The sequence below is a fragment of the Homo sapiens genome, chromosome 5, assembly GCF_000001405.40.
Source record: "Homo sapiens chromosome 5, GRCh38.p14 Primary Assembly".
Lineage (NCBI taxonomy): Eukaryota > Metazoa > Chordata > Mammalia > Primates > Hominidae > Homo > Homo sapiens.
The window spans coordinates 15,962,401-15,985,701 of NC_000005.10; the positions used below are offsets into that span (position 1 = coordinate 15,962,401).

Consider the following 23,301-nt stretch of genomic DNA (forward strand, 5'->3'; position numbering starts at 1 on the left):
TGATATGGAAAAAGTTTTAGTGGTCTAGTTAGAAGATCAAACCAGCCACAACATTCCCTTAAGCCAAGAACTCAAGAACAAGGCCCTAACTCTTCAATTCTATGAAGGCTGAGAGAGGTGAGGAAGTTGCAGAAGAAAAGTTTGAAGGTGGCTGAGGATGATTCGTGAGGTATACGGAAAGCAGCCATCTCCCTAACATAAAAGTGCAAGGGAAAGCAAGAAGTCCTGATGTAGAAGCTGCAGAAAGTTATCAAGAAAAGCTAAGTAAGATAATTGATAAAGGTGGCTACACTAAACAACAGATTTTTAATATAGACTAAACACCGTTCTATTCAAAGAAGATGCCATCTAGGACTTTCATAGCTAGAGACGGGGAGACAAATGCCTGGCTTCAAACTTCAAAGGACAAGCTGACTCTCTTGTTAGGGGGTAATGCAGCTAGTGGGTATAAGTCACCAGTCCATTTATAACCATTCATCATTCAAAAATTCTAGGGTCCTTAAGAATTATGCTAAATCTACTCTGCCTGTGCTCTATAAATGGAACAACAAAGCCTAAATGACAGAACATCTGTTTACAACATGGTTTGCTGAATATTTTAAACCCACTAGTGGGACCTACTGGTTAGAAAAAACTCTAATGGCAATATAAAAAGTGATTAATGGGTTTTGTTTTGTTTTGTTTTTGGTTTATTTGTTTGTTTGAGTTGGAGTTTAACTCTGTTGCCTAGACTGGAGTGCAATGGTGCAATCTTGGCTCACTGCAACCTCCGCCTCCCAGGTTCAAGCAATTCTCTTGCCTCAGCCTCCTGAGTAACTGGAATTACAGGTGCCCACCACCACACCCAGTTAATTTTTTGTATTTTTAGTAGAGATGGGGTTTCACCATGTTGGCTAGGCTGGTCTTGAACTCCTGACCTCAGGTGATCCACCTGCCTCAGCCTCCCAAAGTGCTGGGATTACAGGTGTGAGCCACTGCGCCCAGCCGATTATGCTAACACAACATCCAACATAAAGCTCATGGATCAAGGAGTAATTTCAACTTTCTAATTTTATTATTTAAGTAACACCTTTTTGTAACTCTATAGCTGCCATAAATAGTGATTTATCTGATGAATCTGGTTAAAGTAAATTGAAAACCTCCTGGAAAGAATTCGTAGTTCAAGATGCCATTAAGAACATTTGTGATTAATGGGAGTAGGTCAAAATATCAACAAGAATAAGAGTTTGGAAGAAGCTGGTTCCATCCCTCATGGATGATATTGAGGGATTCAAGACTTCTTTGGAGTAAGTCACGGCAGATGTGGTGAAAATAGCAAGAGAACTAGGATTAGAAGTGGACCCTAAAGATGGAGCTGAATTTCTCTGATCTCATGATAAAGCATTAACAGCTGAGGAGTTGCTTCTTATGAACTAGCCAAGAAAGTCATTTCTTGTGTTGGAATCTATTCCTGGAGAAGATGCTGTGAACATTGTTGAAATGACAGCAAATAATTTGGAATATTACATAAGCTTATTTGATAAAGCAATGGCATGTTTGAAGAATATCAAATGTAATTCAGAAAGAAGTTTTACTGTGGTAAAATGCGATCAACTAGCATGACATCCCACAGAGAAATCTCTTTCCTGAAAGAGTCAATCAATACGGCAAACTCTATTATTGTCTTATTTTAAGAAATTGCTACAGCCACCCCAACTTTCAGCAACCACCACCCACATCAGTTAGCAGCCATCAACATCAAGTCATGATCTTTCACCAAAAAAAAAGATTACGACTTTGCTGAAGGCTCAGATGATTGTGTGTTTTTTTTTTTTTTTGGAATAAAGTTCTTCTAATTAAGGTATGTACATTGTTTACTTAGATGTAATGCTACTGTACACTTAATTTATAGTATATTGTAAACATAACTTCTATATGCACTGAGAAACCAGAAATTTATGTGACTCACTTTGTGGATATATTCACTTTATTATAGTGGTATGGAATTAAGACTACAGTATCTCAGAGGTGTGCCTGTATTTACATATGTGTGGACAGAGTAAGGCACTATGGTTTGAATACTTGTGTCCCCTCTGAAATCCATGTTGAAACTTCATCCCCAATGCAACACTATTAAGAAGTGTGGCCTTTGAGAGGTGATTTGGTCATGAAGGCTCTGCCCTCATTAGTGCTCTTATAAAAGGGCTAGAGAGAACTAGCTCAGCCCCCTTTTCACTTCCACCCTTCTGCCATGTCAGGACACAACACTTGTTTCCTCTGGAGGAACCAGCAGCAAGGTGCCATCTTGGAAGCAGTGAACAGGCTTTCAGCAGACACCAAACCCACTAGTGCCCTGGTCTTGGACTTCCACCCTCTAGAACTGTGAGTAGTACATTTCTTTTCCTTATAAATTACCCAGTCTCAGGTATTTCTTTATAGGAGCAGAAACAGACTAAGACACAGGGAATCCAAAAATGATAGTAGGGGTTAAAAACAGGGGTGCTATCATTATCTGTAGGCCTGAAAGGGGAAAGTTTGGGGAGTCTGAAGTTACTAGAATCTGGACAGAAAGCATCGTGTGATAGGGGTGCCTTAGGAGAATTGTGGCCTTGAGTAAAGTGCCCAGCAACCTCAGGAAGGGAGTCAGAGGAGATAAATCCCAACCATTCTCTCCTCCCTTACTGTAATCTCTTGCTGGAGATTTCTATTAGCTGAGGCCAACTGAAAACCAGAAGCCAATGATGCCCCAAGAACTTCAGAGCAGCAGGAGGCAAAATAGAAAATGTGTGCAGGTCTTTGGAGAGAAAACACATTGGCAGAGCCAGAAAACAATCTACATCCATCCTGTAATTTCACAATGGATCTGATTATGCCTCAAGTTGCTGGAAGATGTGCTAACATTAAACCCATGATTAAATGAAGCAGACTTAGATAAAGGGAACATCATCCTGAAGACTCAGAGAGACCAAAACAAATTCTTTTTTTTATTTGCTCTGGAAGCCACAAGAAAACTTTGGAAATCTGGCATCACCTAATGGATGTATGCAAATATGATCCTGATAGAAAAAAAAAGAAAAAATTAGAAGGGGTAAAAAGACTGAGAAAAAAACGACAACACAGTTATATGTACAGCAGATGAATAGGATGGGGAATTATTACAAGGAAGTTACCAATATAATTGCAAAGTTAAATTTTCTACTTGAGGCAGTAAAATACAGAATTGAAAATGTAGTAAAAGTAAAAGTGGGCCGGGCGCAGTGGCTCATGCCTGTAATCGCAGCACTTTGGGAGGCCGAGGCGGGTGGATCACTTGAGGCCAGAGTTCGAGACCAGCCTGGCCATCATGGTGAAACCCATCTCTACTAAAAATACAAAAATTAGTTGAGTGTGGTGGTGCATGCCTGTAATCCCGAGGCTGAGGCATGAGAATCTCTTGAATCCACGAGGTGGAGGTTGCAGTGAGCCGAGACTGCGCTACTGCACTCTAGCCTGGGTGACAGAGCAGAAACTCTGTCTCAAATAAATAAATAAAAATAAAATAAAATAAATAAAAGTAATATGGAAGAGAACCTCGAGAAACTGTGGAAGCAAAAATCAATGGCATATTTGAGAAAACAACTTTCTTTCTTATACACTTTGCTGAGTTTCAGTTTTAAATTGTAAGGATACGAATTTAAAGGGTTTACTGCTTTCCAGGAAAAAAAAAATCAATGGCAAGAAGCACCTACATCATAGCAGAAGTTTTGAGTTTTAAAAGTGAAGAAAAATTTCACAAGCCTTTGGAAAAGTTTGGATGAAAGTTGTGTTTCGTAGTTGATCTTCTCCTCTGCAACTCTAAGTACCAGAAGACAACTTGCCACATACACAAAGCAAAATATGCAGCGTGAGCATTTTATCACTTGACAATTTTAACGTTGTCAAGTTAAAGAGAAAGACTTATACATCTAGTTGCTCAGAAAATTACCCTTGCATTTTGAATAGTTTTAATTGGATGAGAGATGACTCAAAATTTAAATCTAACATGTAGTCAGCAAACTCTAATGTTCTTTACAAAATAACCTCAAACACGTTTGTCTGACTCATCTTTTTTATCCCATCACTTACAGACAACTGGGCATGGAAGTGAAGGGTATAAAAATGTTGTTAAGGTTTCCCTTCCTCAGCATTCATCCTAAATTTAGAATTGAGAAGGTTTGTGTGTTATCAGTCCGTGCTGCAACTTGGAGTGAAGCTTGACCCTAAAGCGTCCCCTCAGTTTTAACTCATTTAGAAACAGAAATGTGTTTTTATGATCATCTTAAAGTCATGGTTGATGACACCTGAAACAATCATTGTTTTTATTTTGTACAGGCCACTGCCAACATGGCAAAACTTTTGGGTATTTGGGACATTGAATTAGAAGGAGTACTAAAAGTTTTATTTGTATCCTTTAGAAGCAAAAATGTACAAGTAATATGATACCCAATTGCACCACAAGTTACTTGAGTAATCATTTTGGGCCTCTTTAAAATTCATGTTGAAGACAGCAGTGATTGGAGATTTTAAATTAGGGAAGCCTAATAAATCCACTCAGAGGCTGATATAAGCTGTGACCAATCAGTGCTTTACAAAATTTTTCATATAGGACCTATAAATGTCTTCTTATTAGTGATGCTTAACAATTAGTGCACATTGTATAATTTCAACTGTCTCTTAAGAAGTGTAGAAACAGGTCATAAGAAAATAAACTCAAAATGTTAACAGATGTGTACTTTCAAGGCTTTGAGTATGGATTTTGTAAGCATTTCTAATGTTTCTATAATGAACATTTATAATTTTTAAATCTGAAAACTTGAAAAATTCAGCATATACAATACGTTATATAATTTAACACAACCACATAAATATTCACAGCACAATATGGAAAGAAAATAAATCAAAGTGTTGACAGCATATATCTCTAAGTTGTAGAAACATATACAATTTATTTTTTTCATTTTTGCAATGTTTTAAACATTTTGATAATAATCATGTTTTAGATTTATAAGGGAATAAATGAAGGAAACCTGGAAGCATTTTAACTGTGATTTATCTTTGTTCTTCAAGGAACAACTATATGAAAGAATATCCCACATGTTTCACTGAGGAGTTTTATGACCCAATAATAATAATAATTACACTCATAAACACAATGACAAGAAGTACCATTTATATGAAGGGTGTTCTGTGCCAAGCATTGTCTAAGCATTTACATTCTTAGCCTTATTTTATCACTAAAACAATCCTATGAGGTGTGTTACTAGTTTGATAAACATTTCACAGATGAGAATTCAGGCTAAAAGGGAGCAAATGGGAGTAAATAACTTGTCCAACAGCTAGTGAAGAGTGAGCCCAATGTTTAGACCAAAATCTGTGATCTAAAAGCAAAAGGATAAAGATTAAAATTCAATATATGGAAAAGGCTGTCTCCCACCAAGGTCAAGACTTGTTTCCCTGAACCAGATTAGCTTCCAAGGGCAAGGGTCATCTTCCAGGGTGGGCACAGCCCAACTCATGAACGTCTGACTTTTACACTTTCACATGGTCTTTGCCTGCCCACAAACTCCCCACGTAAGTGACCTGCTCACTCAGCAATCCTGGCTGGCCCCATTTCTACCAGTGTTTGTGTAAGTTTCACCAGTCAAAAACACAGAAAAACAAATCGAGATCAAGACCAAGACAGAGAGGGAGAAACCCTGCCCGGGATCTCAGTGCAGTCAGCACCCTTTCCTAACTTCCTGGAGCAGGTCAATCATCCTGTGATGTGTTATCTCAGCTCCATTCTAGTTAGCCCTTCTCATCCTTGTCAGTGTACATTTATTCGTGAAATAATTTTTAAAGTAAAGGATGTCTTTCATACTGACTGTTAGTACCATGAGGACCAGAACCAGGAATCTTTTTATCTGTATCCTGGTGGGTCTAGTACAGCCCCATTTTATGCCTGGTTTTCTGGTATATTTATTAATAGTCTCCCCTCTCACTCTCAAACAGATCTGGTTTGGATAATGAATTAGATGGTAAGCCTGTTTCGGCTTAAGAGTATCTTCACTGCCTAGGGTACCTGGCACATTTGGGGAGTTATCTACACATATGTTGAATCAATGAACTAATGAATGAAAACTCCCACTCCTGTCCACTGCCACCTGGGAACTCAATTTCCAGTTGATCATTGTTTCCAGTGCTAAGTGAGAGCCTTCCATGGGAAGGTTTTGTTGAGTTGGTTCTCATGATGGTGAATTGAAATGAGACATCTAGTCCCCTCGTCACATCCAGTACTTGTCAGGGCTCAACCAGAAAGGTACAACCATATAAAATTATGGGATTGGGTATTTATTTATTCATTCATTTATTTATTTTTTGAGATGGAGTCTTGCTCTGTCACCCAGGCTGGAGTCCAGTGGCCCAATCTCGGCTTACTGCAACCTCCCCCTCCCAGGTTCAAAGCATTCTCCTTCTTGGCCTCCTGAGTAGCTGGGATCACAGGCACCTGCCACCAGACCTGGCTAATTTTTGTATTTTTAGTAGACACGGGGTTTCACCATGTTGGCCAAGCTGGTCTCAAATTCCTGACTTCAGGTGATCCACCAGCCTCAGCCTCCCCAAGTGCTGGGATTACAGGCTTGAGCCACCAAGCCCAGCCTGGGATTGGGTATTTCATAGGGGAATTAAATCTCACACAATTGTGGAAGAAGCTGGGAAGTGAAGGTCCAGGAGAGATTGGGTGACTAAGGGACTTGGTGAAGCTGTGAAGCCACAAGCGTGTCATCGCCAAAGTGAGACCATAAAAGGAAGCTCATGGCAAGCATGTGCGAGTCCTCACAGCCTCCAGATAATGACGGCTGGGAGTTCACTGCTGCCTTCCAAAGTTCACATCAGTTCATCTGTGCTCAAGACACCTCAAGACCATGCAGGGAATGGGAATCTGGAACACAGGGTTTTTGTATAACCAAGTTGACATAGCACAAACCAGCATGTCTTTCCTCTGTCCCTCTGTCCTTGCATGTACACTACTCCTTTTATCTGTGGCACTCTTGGTCTCCCTCAGTATTTCACAGGCTTCTCAAGTGGTCCTGCATCCTGGTCCTAAGATGAAATGTCCCAAGTGGCTGGCTCCAATTCTGAGCTTGCCTCTGAAAAAGGAAGCAATATTTGTTCACGTTCTTTGTGTACCCAAACCCTCATTATTGTTGTTCTTTATCTTGCAAGGCTTAATTGAGGAAAAGGACTGAGGGTTAGGAGGGCAGTACTTCTCCTGGAAAAGAAAACAAACCCTTCCATTTATGATGGTGAGATCAAAATTATGCTTACACTGTAGCACCTGATTGTTTCTGCAAGTTTTTGGGGTGACTAATCACCGTGTAAATATTGCTTTTATCAATAGGGAGGGAAAATAATTCCTGAGTTTTTAATCAACTTCTAGGGAGTGAAATAAGAAGCGCAGGCACTGTGTCTTTAGGGACCCCAGTCCTGGTTAAAGCTGCCAAACCTCAGATCATCAGATCATAAGAAATGTCCACCCAACCTTTCCTTGGCTATGCTGTCAGATATCCAGTTAGAATTGGGTGGGGAGAACCAAAGCCAGTAGACAAGCATGCAGGAGAGAGCCAGACAGCACAGCACAGATGACGATTTGATAGGCAAGTTTATTATTAGGAGTATGTGGCCGTGAGGTTGTATTCAAAATCACATAGACAGGAAATTACAATGACCAACTGAGAACAAGTGAGAGTTCAAAAACATGGGTACAATTTGTGACAGCAATAAGGTGTAAGAGCTGCAAATCAGACACAGCATCTGGATTCATTGTCTGCTGTTGTCTTCCTTTATCCTCAGGGCCTATTGTGATCTTGATCCCTCTCTGTCTCTTTCTCTATGTCTATCATGCTCTTCTCTTTCTCTCTCACTTATCTCTCTCTCTGTGTCTCTTTCTCTCTCTCTCTTCTGTCTCTTTATCTCTTTCTTGCTTATCTCTATCTGTCTCTTTATCTCTCCCCTCCCTCCAGCAACACACTCACCATTATTTAAATGCTGATTCAGAGTCTGAGAATAGAATAAGATAGTCAACAAACCAACCCATACAATATTTAGCCAAATACATGCTCCCACCCAATAAAAGCCATTTGAGGGTGCCCTGCCTCTGTAAGACTATTGATGACACTTTGATTTACCATATTGCATCTATTTATCCCACTGTATGCCAGGCAGTTTGACTGTGTAAACTACCAGGATCACACTTGGTTGATCCAAGTTTGGGACAGTTGTATTTACAAATATACAAATATACAAATTCTCTAGAATTTCCTAGAGGAAATTATCTGTCCCAGTTTGTCTCTGTAAGATGAAACTCTCTGTCTCATCAACACAGACTGAGTGTTGATGTCATGACACTTGGTCCATGTTCTATAAATCTCCTTTCTTCATTCTGTGTCTTACCAAAACACCTCATCTGCTCTGCTCTTCTGATATCCAGCCTTTGCTATCATATGCCGTGATAATCTGTGTCATATCTTCTCTCTCCACTCAGATATAAACTTCCTTTAGCTCAGAATTTGTATCAGACTTAACTTTTTATTTATCATAGATATCTGCTAAGTATTCCTGAATAAATCAAGCAATAAATTTTAGGATCTTTACATTGCTTGACAATTCAATTTCATTACTGCTCTAGCCATTTATGTTATGTTTTCCCTAGGAGTTTATGACTTGCTTATATTTAGTCCCACTTTTCAGTAATGGAGCCCTTTAAAATAAGTTTTCCTATTAATTTTTAAAAGAACATCACTGATGTCAAATGTATTACCTTGTTATAGGGTAAAGTTATTAAGCTGCCAGTGAGGGGTTAGATGCACGATGTGTCATAGTGGATAAAATATTTTCATTATTTTAGGCAGACATCTGTTCTCCCATTTACTAAGAGTGTGACTTTGCAAATCCTCATTTGCAGTGTGGGTAATAACACTCATCTCTTGGATTGGCTGTGGAGAAAAAAAATAAAATGCATGTGGAAAACAGCACACAGTCCACACTCAATTCATGATTATTTGAAACATTTTTTCCTAATTTTCACACTAAATTCATTAATTTAAAAAATCATGAAACTTTATAACTTGGAGTAAATACATTAGAAAGCACCTTGGGGGCCTTTTAAACTCTAGGATATTAAGTTACATATTATGTTTCAGGAAGGAAGGTATGCTTGGGGTAGATACACATCTAACTTTCTAATGTGACATCGAAGAGAAAACCCTGCCCTTTCACAGGATGCCAAGAGGTCTCTGTGGCTGAGAGTGAGTGACTGTCTTGCACCATCAATAATGTGTAATCCCATGCAATAGGGAGCCGAGACGATAACTTTACATCCACACCATCACCGCCCTTTTCAAACTCCTGCTCCAGCTTTCTGTGAACACACCCCAGAGAGATAAGTAGAGTAGATGCCATTTTTATAGCATATCCAGGAGGCCAAGAACTCAAGAGGTTTGAACATACTAGCAGGCCATAAAGTCCCAGATGAAGGTCTTAGTCATGGTGTCATCTGTCAGCTCACTGGGGCGAATGCCTCGGGGCTCCTGCAGACATGGGGTGGAGTCACAGCACACCCTGGAAAAGGGGAGTCCAGAATGAGGCGAAGTGACCTGGAAGTGCTGTTCTTTCCTTGCTCTGACCCTCCCATCCCCATCTTTCTGTGTAGGATCATGATAGCACAAAGGACATAAAATAGAAGTCTCCCTCACCACACTATGTAACTCTGAGACTCGCACATATGAATGTCTCCACAAAGCCTGGTCCTAGTGACTCCAACCAGGAATCTTTCATATTCCTGCACACCTTCCTCTCTGTGACAGCTTTGTGATGTGTCAGTTAACTTGGCTAAACTGCGCTACAGGCCCCACCATTTTCTTTCTATTTAATAGTATGTTTCCGGTTGGGAGGAGCTACAAGGGATAATCTCTCAGAAGAGATAAAGGACAGAAGAAAGGCAGTGGCCAATTTGTAGCATACACACACCTTCTCACAAATATTTGATCAAACACTATTATGTTCCTCTGAAGGGATTTTTCAGATGTAACTAAAGTCCTTAATCAGTTGACTTTATCAAAATAAGCCTTTAACGAGACATTAGCTCTTCCGTGAGCCCAGAGACTCCAAACAGCAGCTGAGTCTGCAGTTGTTCCCCTTTTACCCTGTGTTTCCTTGCCTGTTCATGATCTTGCCTTCCTGACTGCCTGTCCTCTGGTCTTCAGGGCCGCTTAACCAGCTGCACAATTGTAAAGGCAATTCCTCGCAATAAATCTGCATGTAAAAACCACATCTCCTACTGGTTCTGTTTCTCTGTTGAACGCTGGTATACCCCCTCTCAAAGCCCATTGTCCAGTCATTCTCCAAGTTCTGATAATTCTCCCTTCTAAAGTAGTATCTTAATATCACTAGAGATGAGATGGCCACCTGGGGAATCCAATTCCAATTTTTACTTCTCCTAGTGCCAATAGAGAGTAATTTATTTCTGCCTGTTCCCACTGTCAATAGCAGAGACCAGATGCCATCAGCTCTTACCAGAATGATTAGAAGGGCCTCATATCCTGTACTCAGCAAGCCATTGGTATCCAACCTATATTCTTTGTTGGACAGAGGGCAAACTTCCATAAATACAAATCTGAACAAGTCAGCCCCCACTTAAAACCCATCTGTGGTTTCCCACTGGGTGAAGTCTCAGATCTCAAACATGCCCTAAAAGCTTCTGCACTGCCTAGTCTTTTCCTACCACTCCAGTCTTCTTTCATCCTCACTCCGCCTTTACACTAGTACCCTGGAAATTTCTCCCGACATTCTCCACAGGGTAGGCAGAATAATAGTCTTCTGAAGATGTCCATGTCCTAATCTCTGGAACCTCTGGGTATGTTCTGTGATATGGTGAGGTAGAACCAAGGTTGCTGATAAAATTAAGGTTGCTAATCACCTGACCTTTGCACAAGGAGATGATCCTGGACTATGTGGGTGGTTCCAATGCTGTTACAAGGGTGCTTACTAGTGAATGTGGAAGCAGGAGAGTCAGAGTCAGAGTTTGGGAGAGATTTGAAGATATTGCACTGCTGGCTTTGGAGATGGAGGAAGGGGCCATGATCCAAGGAATAAAGACGATCTCTAAATGCTGGGAAAGCCCAAAAACCAGATTCTTTTACTCAGCCTTCAAAAGGAAAACAATCTTGCAAATATTTTTATTTTAGCCCAATGAGATCTATTTTAGACTTCCGACTTATAAAATTTTAGAATAATAAATTTGAATATTTTAAGCTACCAAAGTTTGTAGTAATTGTTAGAACAGCAAAAGGAAACTATTATATCTACAATTGGGAATTCCTGCCAGCAGTAAAATTCCCAAACTGGCAAGATGCTATCTACTTTTTACTTTTTTAAATAAAAATAATTACCATTATACCCTGATTTTCATGAAAGAAAGAACTTTTCACTTTTCACTTTTTATTTTGAAATAATCAAATTTACAGAAGACTTACAAGAATAAAGAACTCCCATATACAATATATCCAGATTCACCAATATTTAACAATTTGCCACATTTCTTTACCCTTCTCTCTTTCTTAATATATATATGCAAAATTGATATATTTATTATTGAAATAAAAATTTTAACACAAAATTAGAAGGGGCACAATCTCAGAATTAAGCAAATCCCATATTTTCAATAACTTAGCAATATTGTTCTTACATTTTCCTATTTTATCATGGGCTAGTAAAAAACTTCATTATGGAACAGCAGTGGTTCATGGACAAGCATGCATGTAGAAACCACTATCTGAGTAAATGCTTATATATTCTTATGCTTACTTTTAAATGACTCATTTTCAGAGAACTCTCATATTCCCACACTAGAGTTGATTCTCCAATTTTGAGTTTATCTTGAAACCTGAACTTCTTGGTGTCCTCCATAACATTTGTATACAGCCCACGAGACTGTAAGCTCCTTGAGGACAGGAACCATAGGTTTGTCTACCGTAGAGCACATTCTCTTCAAAGTTACATTGATGATGTTAAGGAATTGACAAAACAACTGATAAAGTAGAGAATATAAAGTTCATTTTAAAACTATAATTGTATGAATCTCAAATGCAGATGCCAAACTCAAAAAGCAACATACAAATAAAGTTGCTATAAATATGAATGTATAAACCTTTGTATATAGAGAGAGTTTCTTTTCTCTTGGATAAATACCTAGGAGTGAATGACTGCATCATAAGGTAAATGCATGTTTAGCTTAAGAAACTGCCTAACTGTTTTTCAAAGTGGCTAGAGCATTTAGAACTCCTATCAGAAGTATATGAAAGTTCCAGATCCTCCATACTTCCCAAATGTAGTAAAAGACATACATATAAGTATATAAGAAGCTTGACAAACTCCAAAGAAGATGAACTCAAAGAGACCCACACTGAAACATATCGTAAACTGTCAAAAGACAAAGAGAATCTTGAAAGTGGCAAGACAGAAGACTCATCACATACAAAAGATCTTCAATAAGATTATCAGCATATTTCTGATTAAAAACTTTTGAGGCCAGAATGCAGCAGGCTTTCTCTTTAGAACTCACAGAAGCTCTAAAAGGAAAAAAAACAGTCAAGCAAGAATCTTATATCCAGCAAAACTGTCCTTTCACGGTGAAGGAGAAATTAAGACATACATTTTCAGTAAGCAAAAACTGAAGGGGTTTATTACCAATAGACCTGCTCTGTAGGAATGCTCAAGGGAGTCCTGAAGGGTAAAAATGAAAGGACTAGACAGTAACTAGAAACTATATGAAGAAATAAAAAGCTCAGTAAAGGTAAATACATGAAAATTATAAAAACTTGTTATTGTAACAATGGTTTGCAACTTCACTTTCTGTTTTCTACATGATTTGAGAGTAATACATTTTATAAAATTACCAGTTTAAAAGCTAGTGTTATTTTAACTTTGGTTTGTGATTCCACACTTTGTTTTCTACATAACTGAAGTGACTAATGTATTAAAAATGATTAACTTATGCTTTTGGACACACAATGTATGATGATGTAATTTTGCGATATCAACAACTGAAAAAGGTGAGGATGAAGCTGTTAAGGAGCAGAGATTTTGTATGTTATTAAACTGTTCTAAATTCAAATTAGAGTTTTATAACTTATTTATAGTTAGTATGTTTAATGTAATTCCATGGTAACCACAAAGAAAATAGCTATAGAATATACACAAAAGGAAATGAGAAAGAAATTTTATCATTTCACTACCAAAAATCAGCTAAATACAAAAGAAGACAGTAATGCAGGAAATGAGGGACAAAAAAGCTATACGGCTTATAGAAAACAGGTAGCAAAATGACAGAAGTCCCTTCTTATTAGTAATTACTTTAAATGTAAAGACTAAACTCTGCAATCAAAAGACAGAAATTGGCAGTATGAACTTAAAAAAAACACACACACAAAATCTAACTACATGCTGTCTACAAGAAACTCACTTTAGATCCAAATACAGAAATAGGTTGAAAGCGAAAGCATGAAAGAAGGTATTTTATGCAAATAGTTACAAAAGAGAGTAAGGCTGGATATACTAATTTCAGATAAAATAAATTTCAAATTTAAAAAGATTACAAGAGACAAAGAAGGATGCTATACACTAATACAAGATACAATACAGCAAGAATATATAGCTATTTTAAACATTTTTCAGACCTAGTAACAGACCCTTGACATACATGTAGCAAAAATTAACAAACTTAAATGGATAGATAGTTCTACAATAATAGTTGGCGACTTTCATGCCTCACTCTCAATAATAGACAGAATAACTAGGCAGAAAGAAGATAGGTAAAGAAATAGAGGACTTGGACAGCACAATAAGCCAGCTAGCTCTAACAGACATATAAGGAACACTCTGTGCAACAGACACAGAATGCACATGTTTAAATGCACATGGGGCATTTTCCAGGAAATAAGAACCTTTGTACGCTGTGGATGGGAATGTTAAATGGTATAGCTGCCGTGGAAGATGGTGTGGTGGGTCCTCAAAAACCTTAAAAGAGAATTACCACAGGATCCAATAATTCTACTTATAGGTATGTACCCAGAAGAATTGAAAGTAGCGTCTCAAGGAGATATCGTTGCTTTGAATACCCATTTTCATGGCAGTATTATTCTTTTTTTTTTTTTTTTTTTTTTTTGAGATGGAGTATTGCTCTGCCACCCAGGCTGGAGTGCAGTGGTACAACCTTGGCTTACTGCAACCTCTGCCCCCCTGGTTCCAGCGATTCTCCTGCCTCAGCATCCTGAGTAGCTGGGATTACAGGCACTCACCACCATGCCTGGCTAATTTTTGTATTTTTAGTAGAGACGGGTTTTCACCATGTTGGCCAGGCTGGTCTCGAACTCCTGACATCTGGTGATGCGCCCGTCTTGGCCTCCCAAAGTGCTGGGAGTACAGGTGTGAGCCAACATGCCAGCCAGCAGTATTATTCTTAATAGCTAAAATGTGGGAGCAATTCAACTGTCCATCAATGGATGAGTGAATCAGCAAAATGTGATATATACCTACAATGAAATATTATTTAGCCTTTCGAAAGAATAAAACCCTTCTACCCATGCTCAAGCTATAACATGGATGAACTTTGAAGTGTAAAATAAGTGAAAAGTGAAATAAACCAGTTGAAAAAAGCTAAATACTATGTAATTCCACTTACATGAGGTGCTTAGAGCACTCAAAATTACAGAGACAGAAAATAGAATGATGGCTTCTTGGGCTGGGAGGAGACGGGAATGAGGAGTTATTGCTTTGTGGATATAGAACTTCAGTTTTGAAAGATGAAAAGAGTTTTGGAGATGGATGAAGGTATAGGGTTAGCAATATGGATGTACTTCATACCACTGGTCTGTACACTTAAAATGCTTAAGATGGTAAATTTTATATTAATTGTATTTTACCACAAGGTTTTAAAAATTGAGAAAAAAACTTTATAAACTAATAGTAAAGTTCACTGTCAAAAAGCCATTTTTCTCCTAAATCTAATTGTATCTCTTTTATATTCCAGCCCAGGGTAACCAGCAGCTGAAATCACAAGAACTTATCTACCAGCCCACAACATAATTTACTTCATTAGAAAGTTTTCCACAAGCTGGCATTGGAAACTTGGGCTTTAGAAGTGAAAGAAATCAATTTATCCCCTGCTCTGAGCCATCCTGCCTTACGTGGCTGATTTCTAAACCACCACACAGGCCTTGTTACATTCTCCCTGCCGAGCATCCTTCCAACTTGTGTATAATAAGGAGATGAAGTTGAAAGAAGACGTCAATGAACATAGTAGTTTTTTTAATCTAAAAAATACAAACAGGCTTTAAAAGACCATATGTAAGTCTTCTTTAGTTTCCAAACCACAATAGATGTACTAGGCATGATTATTCTAAGGTCCCTGCAATAAATGAAATCCGAGGTAGTTCCAACAAATGATGAATTCATGGTGGAAAAATAATTTCACTCATTTGCTGTCTTATCATAGGTTTTGTTTTCTCTCCAAAAAATACATAGTTGGGGTGAGGGGGCAATACAGAAAAAAAAGAAACGGGGGATGATTGCATTGTTTACAAAGCAAAAAGGAAATTATTTGGTTCTGTGAATGCAAAATGTTTTGACAGTATTTCCGATTTTGCAGGACATCTGGTGTAGATGATATCGAGGGCATTAGAAGTAAATAGCTAAATTCTGTTATTAGTTCTGTTACTATTCTACCATATGGAAATATTTTTATTTTTCCCCTCAGTTTAATTCATTGTTGACTTGGGAGAGAAAAAATCCAATTAAAAATGACATGTGAACTGCTTGTCACCCAACTCTTGGTTGCCTAACATTGTGGCCTATTTTTTGTATAGAGACCCAGTTCTTGAATTAGCCTCTATAAATATGTTTCCATGTATTGGCTTGAATTTTGTATAGAAATCAGAGTTGTAAAAAATTAAAGGTCTGGAAGACTCAGTCTTGTTAAAATGTCAATTCACTCCAAATTAATTTATGTATAGGTTCAGTGCAAACCTAATAAAAATCTTAGTAAGTTGTTTTGTGGATAATGACAAGCTGATTCTAAAACTCATATTTAAAAGCAAAGAAACCTCAATAGCCAAAGCAATTTTGATAAAATAACAAAGATAGAACCCTCACACTACATAATTTCAAGACTTACTGTGAAGCCACGTTAATCAAGACAGCATGGTGTTGGTGAACGCATGAATCAAACTGATGGGGTCTAGACTCAATGACTTCCCAATAATAATGAACAAACCTACAGCCCAGATATCTGTTTCTAAATGCCATTTTACAGTAGAAGAAACCAGACCTCCTTGTAGAATTAGTTGAATCCCAGGACGGGACAGGGAAAACTTAAGATAAGCCTAGAGCATCTAGTGGTGCCAGAAAGTAAGGAAGTGCTCAAAAAAGAATGGGGGCATGTCCAAAGCTCACAGGAGCCAACATGAAAGAGCTCCCAATGTCCCAAGTCTGAGCAAGTTAATGATAGATTATTTTTATCAAGAGAATACAATAAGCATCCATGAGTCTATGACATAAAGAAATGAATGAATGAATGAATGGGAGATAACAGCTCTCCCAATGAATAAATGTAGAAAGAAGATGGAAATATGAATTCACCAATAGAATGCCACAGTAATAATTGTTGCAGGCAAGATGTACCAACGAAAGCCAAAATTCGTGGGTAAAACTTTGAGGATAAAGATTATATGTGCCTAGTGCAAAATTATCTCCTTCAAGATACCCATTAATTGCTAAAGGAAAAATAGTAATTTTAAAAATGGAAACACCTGGCAGATGCCATCTCAGCCAAGTGATCAAGATTAACATCACCAGTAAAAAGACATACTGACATCCCATACTTCCTGATTTGATACACTAAGAAGGGCTTATCGTTTCTGTGGTACTCTTGGCCAACAATGCGCAAGTAACATTTATTCATTGAAACACATTAGGCAGAACCAAATTGCAGGACATTCCTCAAAATAGCTGTGCAATACTCTTCAAAAGTGTCAGATCCTGGAAGACAAAGAGATACTGAGGAACCATCACAGAGTGGGAGAGGACATGGAGACATAAAAACTAACTGTAATGTGGAATCCTACATTGGATCATGGACCAGAAAGAGAACACTGATGGGAAGACTGATGAAATCTGAGTAAGTCTGTAGTTTGGTTTAGAGAATAATAATAATAACAATAACGGTTTAGGTGCTGACTCCTTAATAAAATTCCCCTAGTTACTGTAATGTCTAAAAATGAAGCCCCCATGGTGGGCTACTGTGACTATTCACTGCATTTAAGAATAAAGAATAATTAAGGATGTGTGAATAGATGGTAATAAGTTAATAACTCAGATGGTGCTGCTAATACATAACAACCCAAGGAGACAGCATCATGTAACGAAAATATTTTCACACTTCATAATCTATTGAACTCCTCTCTGTTTCTCTCTGGCCTCCCAATCTGTTGTTCTCTCTCTTTTTCTTTCCATCTGTCTCTTTCTTTCTCTCCCCCTCTACTTTTACTCATACTTCTGCATTATGTTCATATACAGTATAGAACTGAAGTATATTTTTAAGTAACTGATATTGTTATCAAGTCCCAGAGCTTCTCTACTGAAGCTTTTAAAGAGTTTCTGTCTTCCAAAATAAAAAGCTAAAGCTGCATTGTGGTGATTGTTCTTCCATGTAAGTCTTAAATTGATATAGCATGTGTGAGATTACTGGCTCTTGGTAGGAAATGTTTTCTTCTCTATGGCAAAAATCTTAGAAGTCCATTCAGAATGATGCTGTCAGAATGTATTTTCATGGGATGCTTTGAAATAGACAAAAAAAAAAAAAAAAAAACAGCACACAGCACACAAAGATTTTATTCTTTAACATTGTAAATCAACTCAGTTTTTACCTTCTTGTTCATAATCATGGTGCAATGTAATACAATATATAGATGGCCAGTTAAAATAGGAGTAATTTCAAAATTTGATCATTCTTTTTCATAGAAGAGTACAATTTTTACTTGCAAAAAAAAGAGTTAATCAAATTTTGTTACATTTCCTTCTCCATCTCCACTACATTTTCAGAAAAAAAAAACAAATTATATTGATTGCTAATATGGTACAGATTAGACAGACAAGAGGTGCTCCTTGAGTTAGCTACCCCATAATTTATTAAAAAATTAATTTCAAATGGAGCTTGAGCACTTTCAAAATCTGGCTGTCATCCTAAATACCTTCTCTGGGGGATGCAAACTGTTATTTTTGTTTTATTTTGCTATTAATTTCCTTAGTTGAATTACCTCTAATTTAGCTCAGAGAGAGTCTGATCAAAAAAGATCATAAAGATGAAGAAAGATAGGAACCTATGCTTAGAAAGTGAAATCAAATACTATATAGCATTTCTCAAATATATTAGGCTTCCTAATCTATTTTTCATTCGCTTCCCAATTCTGCTTATATCTAGCCCTGGACAGAAGTGAACACCAAATATAGGAAAAGAGAGTAAACTCCAGGTGTGTGCACGTAAGTATGCATGTGTTGTGTGCATGGGTTGGAGGAGTGAAGCCTGGACTACAGAAATATTATTCTATATTTAGAATAGCAGGCTGATTGAAATACCCCAGCTTTGTGCAGAGCTCTCAACTAAAGTTTGCACTAAGGAACAACCAAAATAACTAGACACTGGAGGAAATCTGAAATGGGAAACAGAAAGCTCAAGATACAAACTTCTATCCCATAGCAAAGAGAGATAATTCCAGTAACTTAAGGACACTTCAACCCTCCAGTTAGTCCCTCCGAAAAATATAAAAAGATTTTTTGCATTCATAAAGCAAGAATAGGTGAGCTTTCACAAAATCAAGTTTGCTCAGATTCTAAAAGGTTCAAATGAAGAGTTGGAAAATACATTTAAGGGAATCTATAAGAACAACAACAACAAAAAAACCCTGAGACCATGATTATGGAAGACATGATAAGGGACATAGAGATGAAATCAGAAGGTCTCCAGCAAAAACGGGTGGCTGCCTACTCAACATCAACTCTCTGCTTCCTTCTTATTAACATTTAGGGACTTCTGATGGTTTCTCCTTATCCCCTTCACCCTTCCCTCAACTCTCTGACTGGGCCACAGGAAGCATAGATGGAGAAAGAACAACCAGGTTGGGATCTGAGGGTGAAAGCTACATGCTAAAGATGATGACTCCGGAAGAGGGACTGACCCTGGATTTTTACAACATCATGGAATTGCCACACCAGACAAAGACTTCTCCCCTATAGGTTTCTAATTACATGAAAATTTAAAACCATATTTTGTTGAATGAGCCACTTCAGTCATATTTCTGTTTATCTGGAAGCAGAAATAATGGTATCTAGAATAATCAGATATTATCTTAAAATAATACCATCTAATACAACATTCAAGATCCAACTAATAGAAAAGAATAAAGAAGGAAGAAAAGGGGGAAGAGAGGGAGAAAGGAAATAGATGAGGGAGTCTCAAAGAACAATAAAAACAATTTCCAAAAGATAAAGGGATGCAAGTGTCTTATATTTGGAAAACTGTCCCAAGGGCTGGCGCAGTTAATCACATCTCCATATTTTGTACAACAAGAAAACAAGACATCATCTTAAAAGGTCCCAGGGGGGAAAAGAAAAGCAAGTAATACAGACAAATATAAAAATAAAGTTGAAGAAAAATTTTAAACTAGAAATTGTAGCCAGAATGTCTAATAAAACATTTTCAGACATACATGGATTTAGAAAGTTTGTATTTCCTATAACCTTCCTTAGAAGTCACATCAGAATGTACTTTGGCAAAACAGTATAAACCAAAAAAAAAAAAAAAAGGCAATTCAAAAAATATTCAACAAATCCAGAAAAGTAGTGAAAAACAGTTTTATGTTGATTGTTCTCTCATTCTGCTGCAGAGCCATCAGTCACGATTGAAGCACAGAAATGAAACGTAATTAGAAACTCTTGGATGGAAGAGAGTTATAAAATACAGCTATGAGATAAAAAGTAAAAATTAGAAGGTCAGTGGGTTTTCAAAACAAATATAGTAGATTCTAAGTGACATTTTATATAACAAATAACTCAGTGGAATGGTAGAACATTATTTGGAATATGCTGGGGATTGCATATATCTTGCACTTCACAAAAAATAAAAAAGACAACCAGAATGCCAGAGAATAATTTTTTTAAAACCCACCAAAATGTATACAAGAAAGGAATGAACCAAATATAAAGTAGATCAAAACATTACATTATTTTGATCAATTGTGAAGAATAAAAATCAGAATCTGTTTTGGCATTCTTCTTTCATTGGCCAGTAAATTGTGGCTTTAAAACTACAAAACTAAGGTCAGGCGCGGTGACATGCTATTGAGTCCCAGCTACTCAGGAGACTGAGGTGAGAGAATTGCTTGAAGCCAGGGATTTTAATCCATCCTGGGCAACACAGCAAGATTCTGGCTCTACTAAAACTAAAACAACTATACTACTACTACTTGATGATTCAGTAAATAATATTTAACGTAGTCAAGTAATATAAATACTGATTTTCAATTTTTGGGAACAAGGGTGAATCAATCATGAAATGCTTACTAATGAAAACAAAACAAAATGTAAACCTGATTAATCTTGACCATGTAAAAGTACAGCTGAGAGCAGGTGGCCCAGACAGTTATGCTGTTCACAGACTTGAAGTTGAAGGGTACTGGGCTAGTCTCCTTGGGCAGAAGACCAGTTTGACGAGAGCTTTAAAATGTCTGTAGTGTCTGAGTTAGGAATCCTCTTTTAGGAATGGATAACTGGATGTTCAAAAGTTTACGCATGGGAACCTGAGGATGGTCATCACAGCATTATTTGCATTAGTAAGAAAAAAGGTAACAATGTCAATGTGCAAACAATAGAAAATGCTTAAATGAATTGACATATCTGTACAATAATATATAACATTAAAATGGTAAATTTTAATGATTTGGGAAATATTTGTAATACAATATTGCTCAAATAAATTAGCTGAATGGGACTCTATTTCCATGTCATAGACTGGGTGGCTTAAACAACAGAGATTTACTTCCCATAATCCTAGAGACTGGAAAGGCCAAAATGAAAGTGCTTTCAGATTCGGTTTCTGGTGAGGGCTCTCTCCCTGGCTTGTAGACAGCACTGTGTGCTCACATGGCAGAGGCCAACTGAGTGAGCTCTGCCTTCTCTTCCTTTTCTAATAAGGACAATAATCCCATCATGGGGCCCTACCTTATGACTTTATCTAAACCTAATCACTTCCCTAGGAACCCAGCTCCAAATACCATCACATTGGGGGTTACAGTTTCAACATATAAATTTTGGGGGGGCACAAACATTCAGTTCATAACAATTCTGAACATTTACTGAGTGTTTACTGCAAGTTAATTTTAAAAAATTTTACATGTATTAATCTATCTAAATCTCCAAACCACCATGTGAAATAGATGCTATTTGTGAGCATGTATATATGGAATATGTACATACTTATATACACATACATATACATACACATGTTTACATATATATACATGTCTGTCTATATACATACACATTCTATGTACTATATATATGTATACATATGTAGGTATAAATATAATTATGTAATTTACTCACAATGTCTCCTTCTCCCTCTCACCTTCTATGGTCCCCTCTTCATGAGAGAAGTATACTCCCTGCCTCATGGACTCTGACAGATCATGTAAGTAGCTTTAGTTTAATGAACCACTAGTAGATGGGATGGGAGCAGACACTATCAATAAGCTTGCATGGTTTAGGCTTGCTTTCTTTGCTTCTGCCATCACCAAGCTAGAAATAGGGTTCAGGTATTCACTGTGTCCAGAATGAGGTATGTGGTTTAGATCCAAACCTACCTATTGCCTGGAACCAGATCAGGTGAAGTTGCTGAGCCCAGCAAGCCAATTCCAGCCAAATCATCAACCTGTACACTCATGAGTGATAAAAATAAATGCTTATTATTGTAATGCACTGAGATTTTGTGGCTTTTGTTACCCAACATTATTACAGTAACAACTGACTGATACTATATGTCTAAGTAAAGCTTTAGTGGTAATCTCTGGGTAGTAGAATGAAGAATGACTTTTATTATCTTCTTTACAGTTAATTGAATGATTTTAAAACTATTACCCACTACTTTTTCAATTTTTAACATGTCTTTAGATAAAGCAAATAATTACTGTTACATTAATGTTTTGTGTTTGTATTATATACAGAATTATCTTAAAATCACCATTGATTTGGAACTTTGAAATTATAGATTATTCAACACTTACTCTAACTTAATTTTAAAATTCAACTTTTTCCATGACTTAAAATGTTGGAGATTAAATAATCTCTTGGTTCAAAGAACCACTTAGGCTTTTTTAGAAAAACAAATTGAGGAATCTGTGATTTGGTAGTGTGTCTCCTTGGGCATACATGAATTTTTTCAAAATGTCATGAGACTAGTATCATAAGTTGCTCATGGAGATCCAATTAGACAGAGTCACAGACTTACAGAAAAGGAAATCTTCGTATTTTTTAATTTATCAGGAATCCTGACTGAACTTTAATTTATACAACTACCGGAGCATTACACTTGGACACATTTGTTGAGCTTTGATAAATCATGGTGACTTTTGGGAACGTTGGTGAAGCATTTTATGCATCAGCTGATGGGAGAGAGTCCACCAAACAAGACTGAATTTAGGAACTGGTCAGAATCCAAATTTATTTTTCATGGTACTTCTGGGTTACTGTCCCAAAGTCCTTTGAGCAAGGAAGGCCAAGGCCAATAACTTTAGCAAAGGGAGAAATTAACAATAAGCTTCCCCCCTGCCATTTAGCTGTTTCCTTTAGCCCCTTACTCTCCTGGCTGGCTTACATCTAAGAGTGACATTAAGGCTGATTGCAAGAGGTAGACCAATAAAAAGATAAAATTCATTTTTATATTGTCATTTTTTATGTTAATGTCTCCAGCAAGACTAAAAGAATCACTAAATGGTAACTGTCTCAGGTGGAAATAAAATAAAGACCCTGAATCTTTCGAATAGTTCAAGTGCCAGTGATAATACCAAATTTTATTTGTCATATTTTCTTTTTCTTTTCTTTTCTTTTTTTTTTTTTTTTTTTTGAGACGGGGTCTCACTCTGTCCCCCAGGCTGGAGTGCAGTGGTGCGATCTCGGCTCACTGCAAGTTCTGCCTCCCAAGTTCACGCCAATCTCCTG

At 37.3% G+C, this 23,301-nt stretch overlaps 1 long non-coding RNA gene across 3 annotated transcripts; it reads left to right on the top strand.

Moving 5' to 3' along the window:
• The first annotated feature begins 996 nt into the window (after positions 1–996).
• LOC107986406 (uncharacterized) lies at positions 997–21,411 on the top strand. 3 transcript variants are annotated; one of them, XR_001742610.1, is made up of 4 exons: positions 1,830–2,361; positions 15,065–17,209; positions 18,512–18,570; positions 19,974–21,411. It is a non-coding gene; the product is annotated as an uncharacterized LOC107986406 (long non-coding RNA). The 3 variants fall into 3 exon arrangements; XR_001742608.2 differs by having other exon boundaries at positions 997–2,361; positions 15,065–18,570; XR_001742607.2 differs by lacking the exon at positions 19,974–21,411 and having other exon boundaries at positions 997–2,361; positions 15,065–19,573.
• The last annotated feature ends 1,890 nt before the right edge of the window (positions 21,412–23,301 follow it).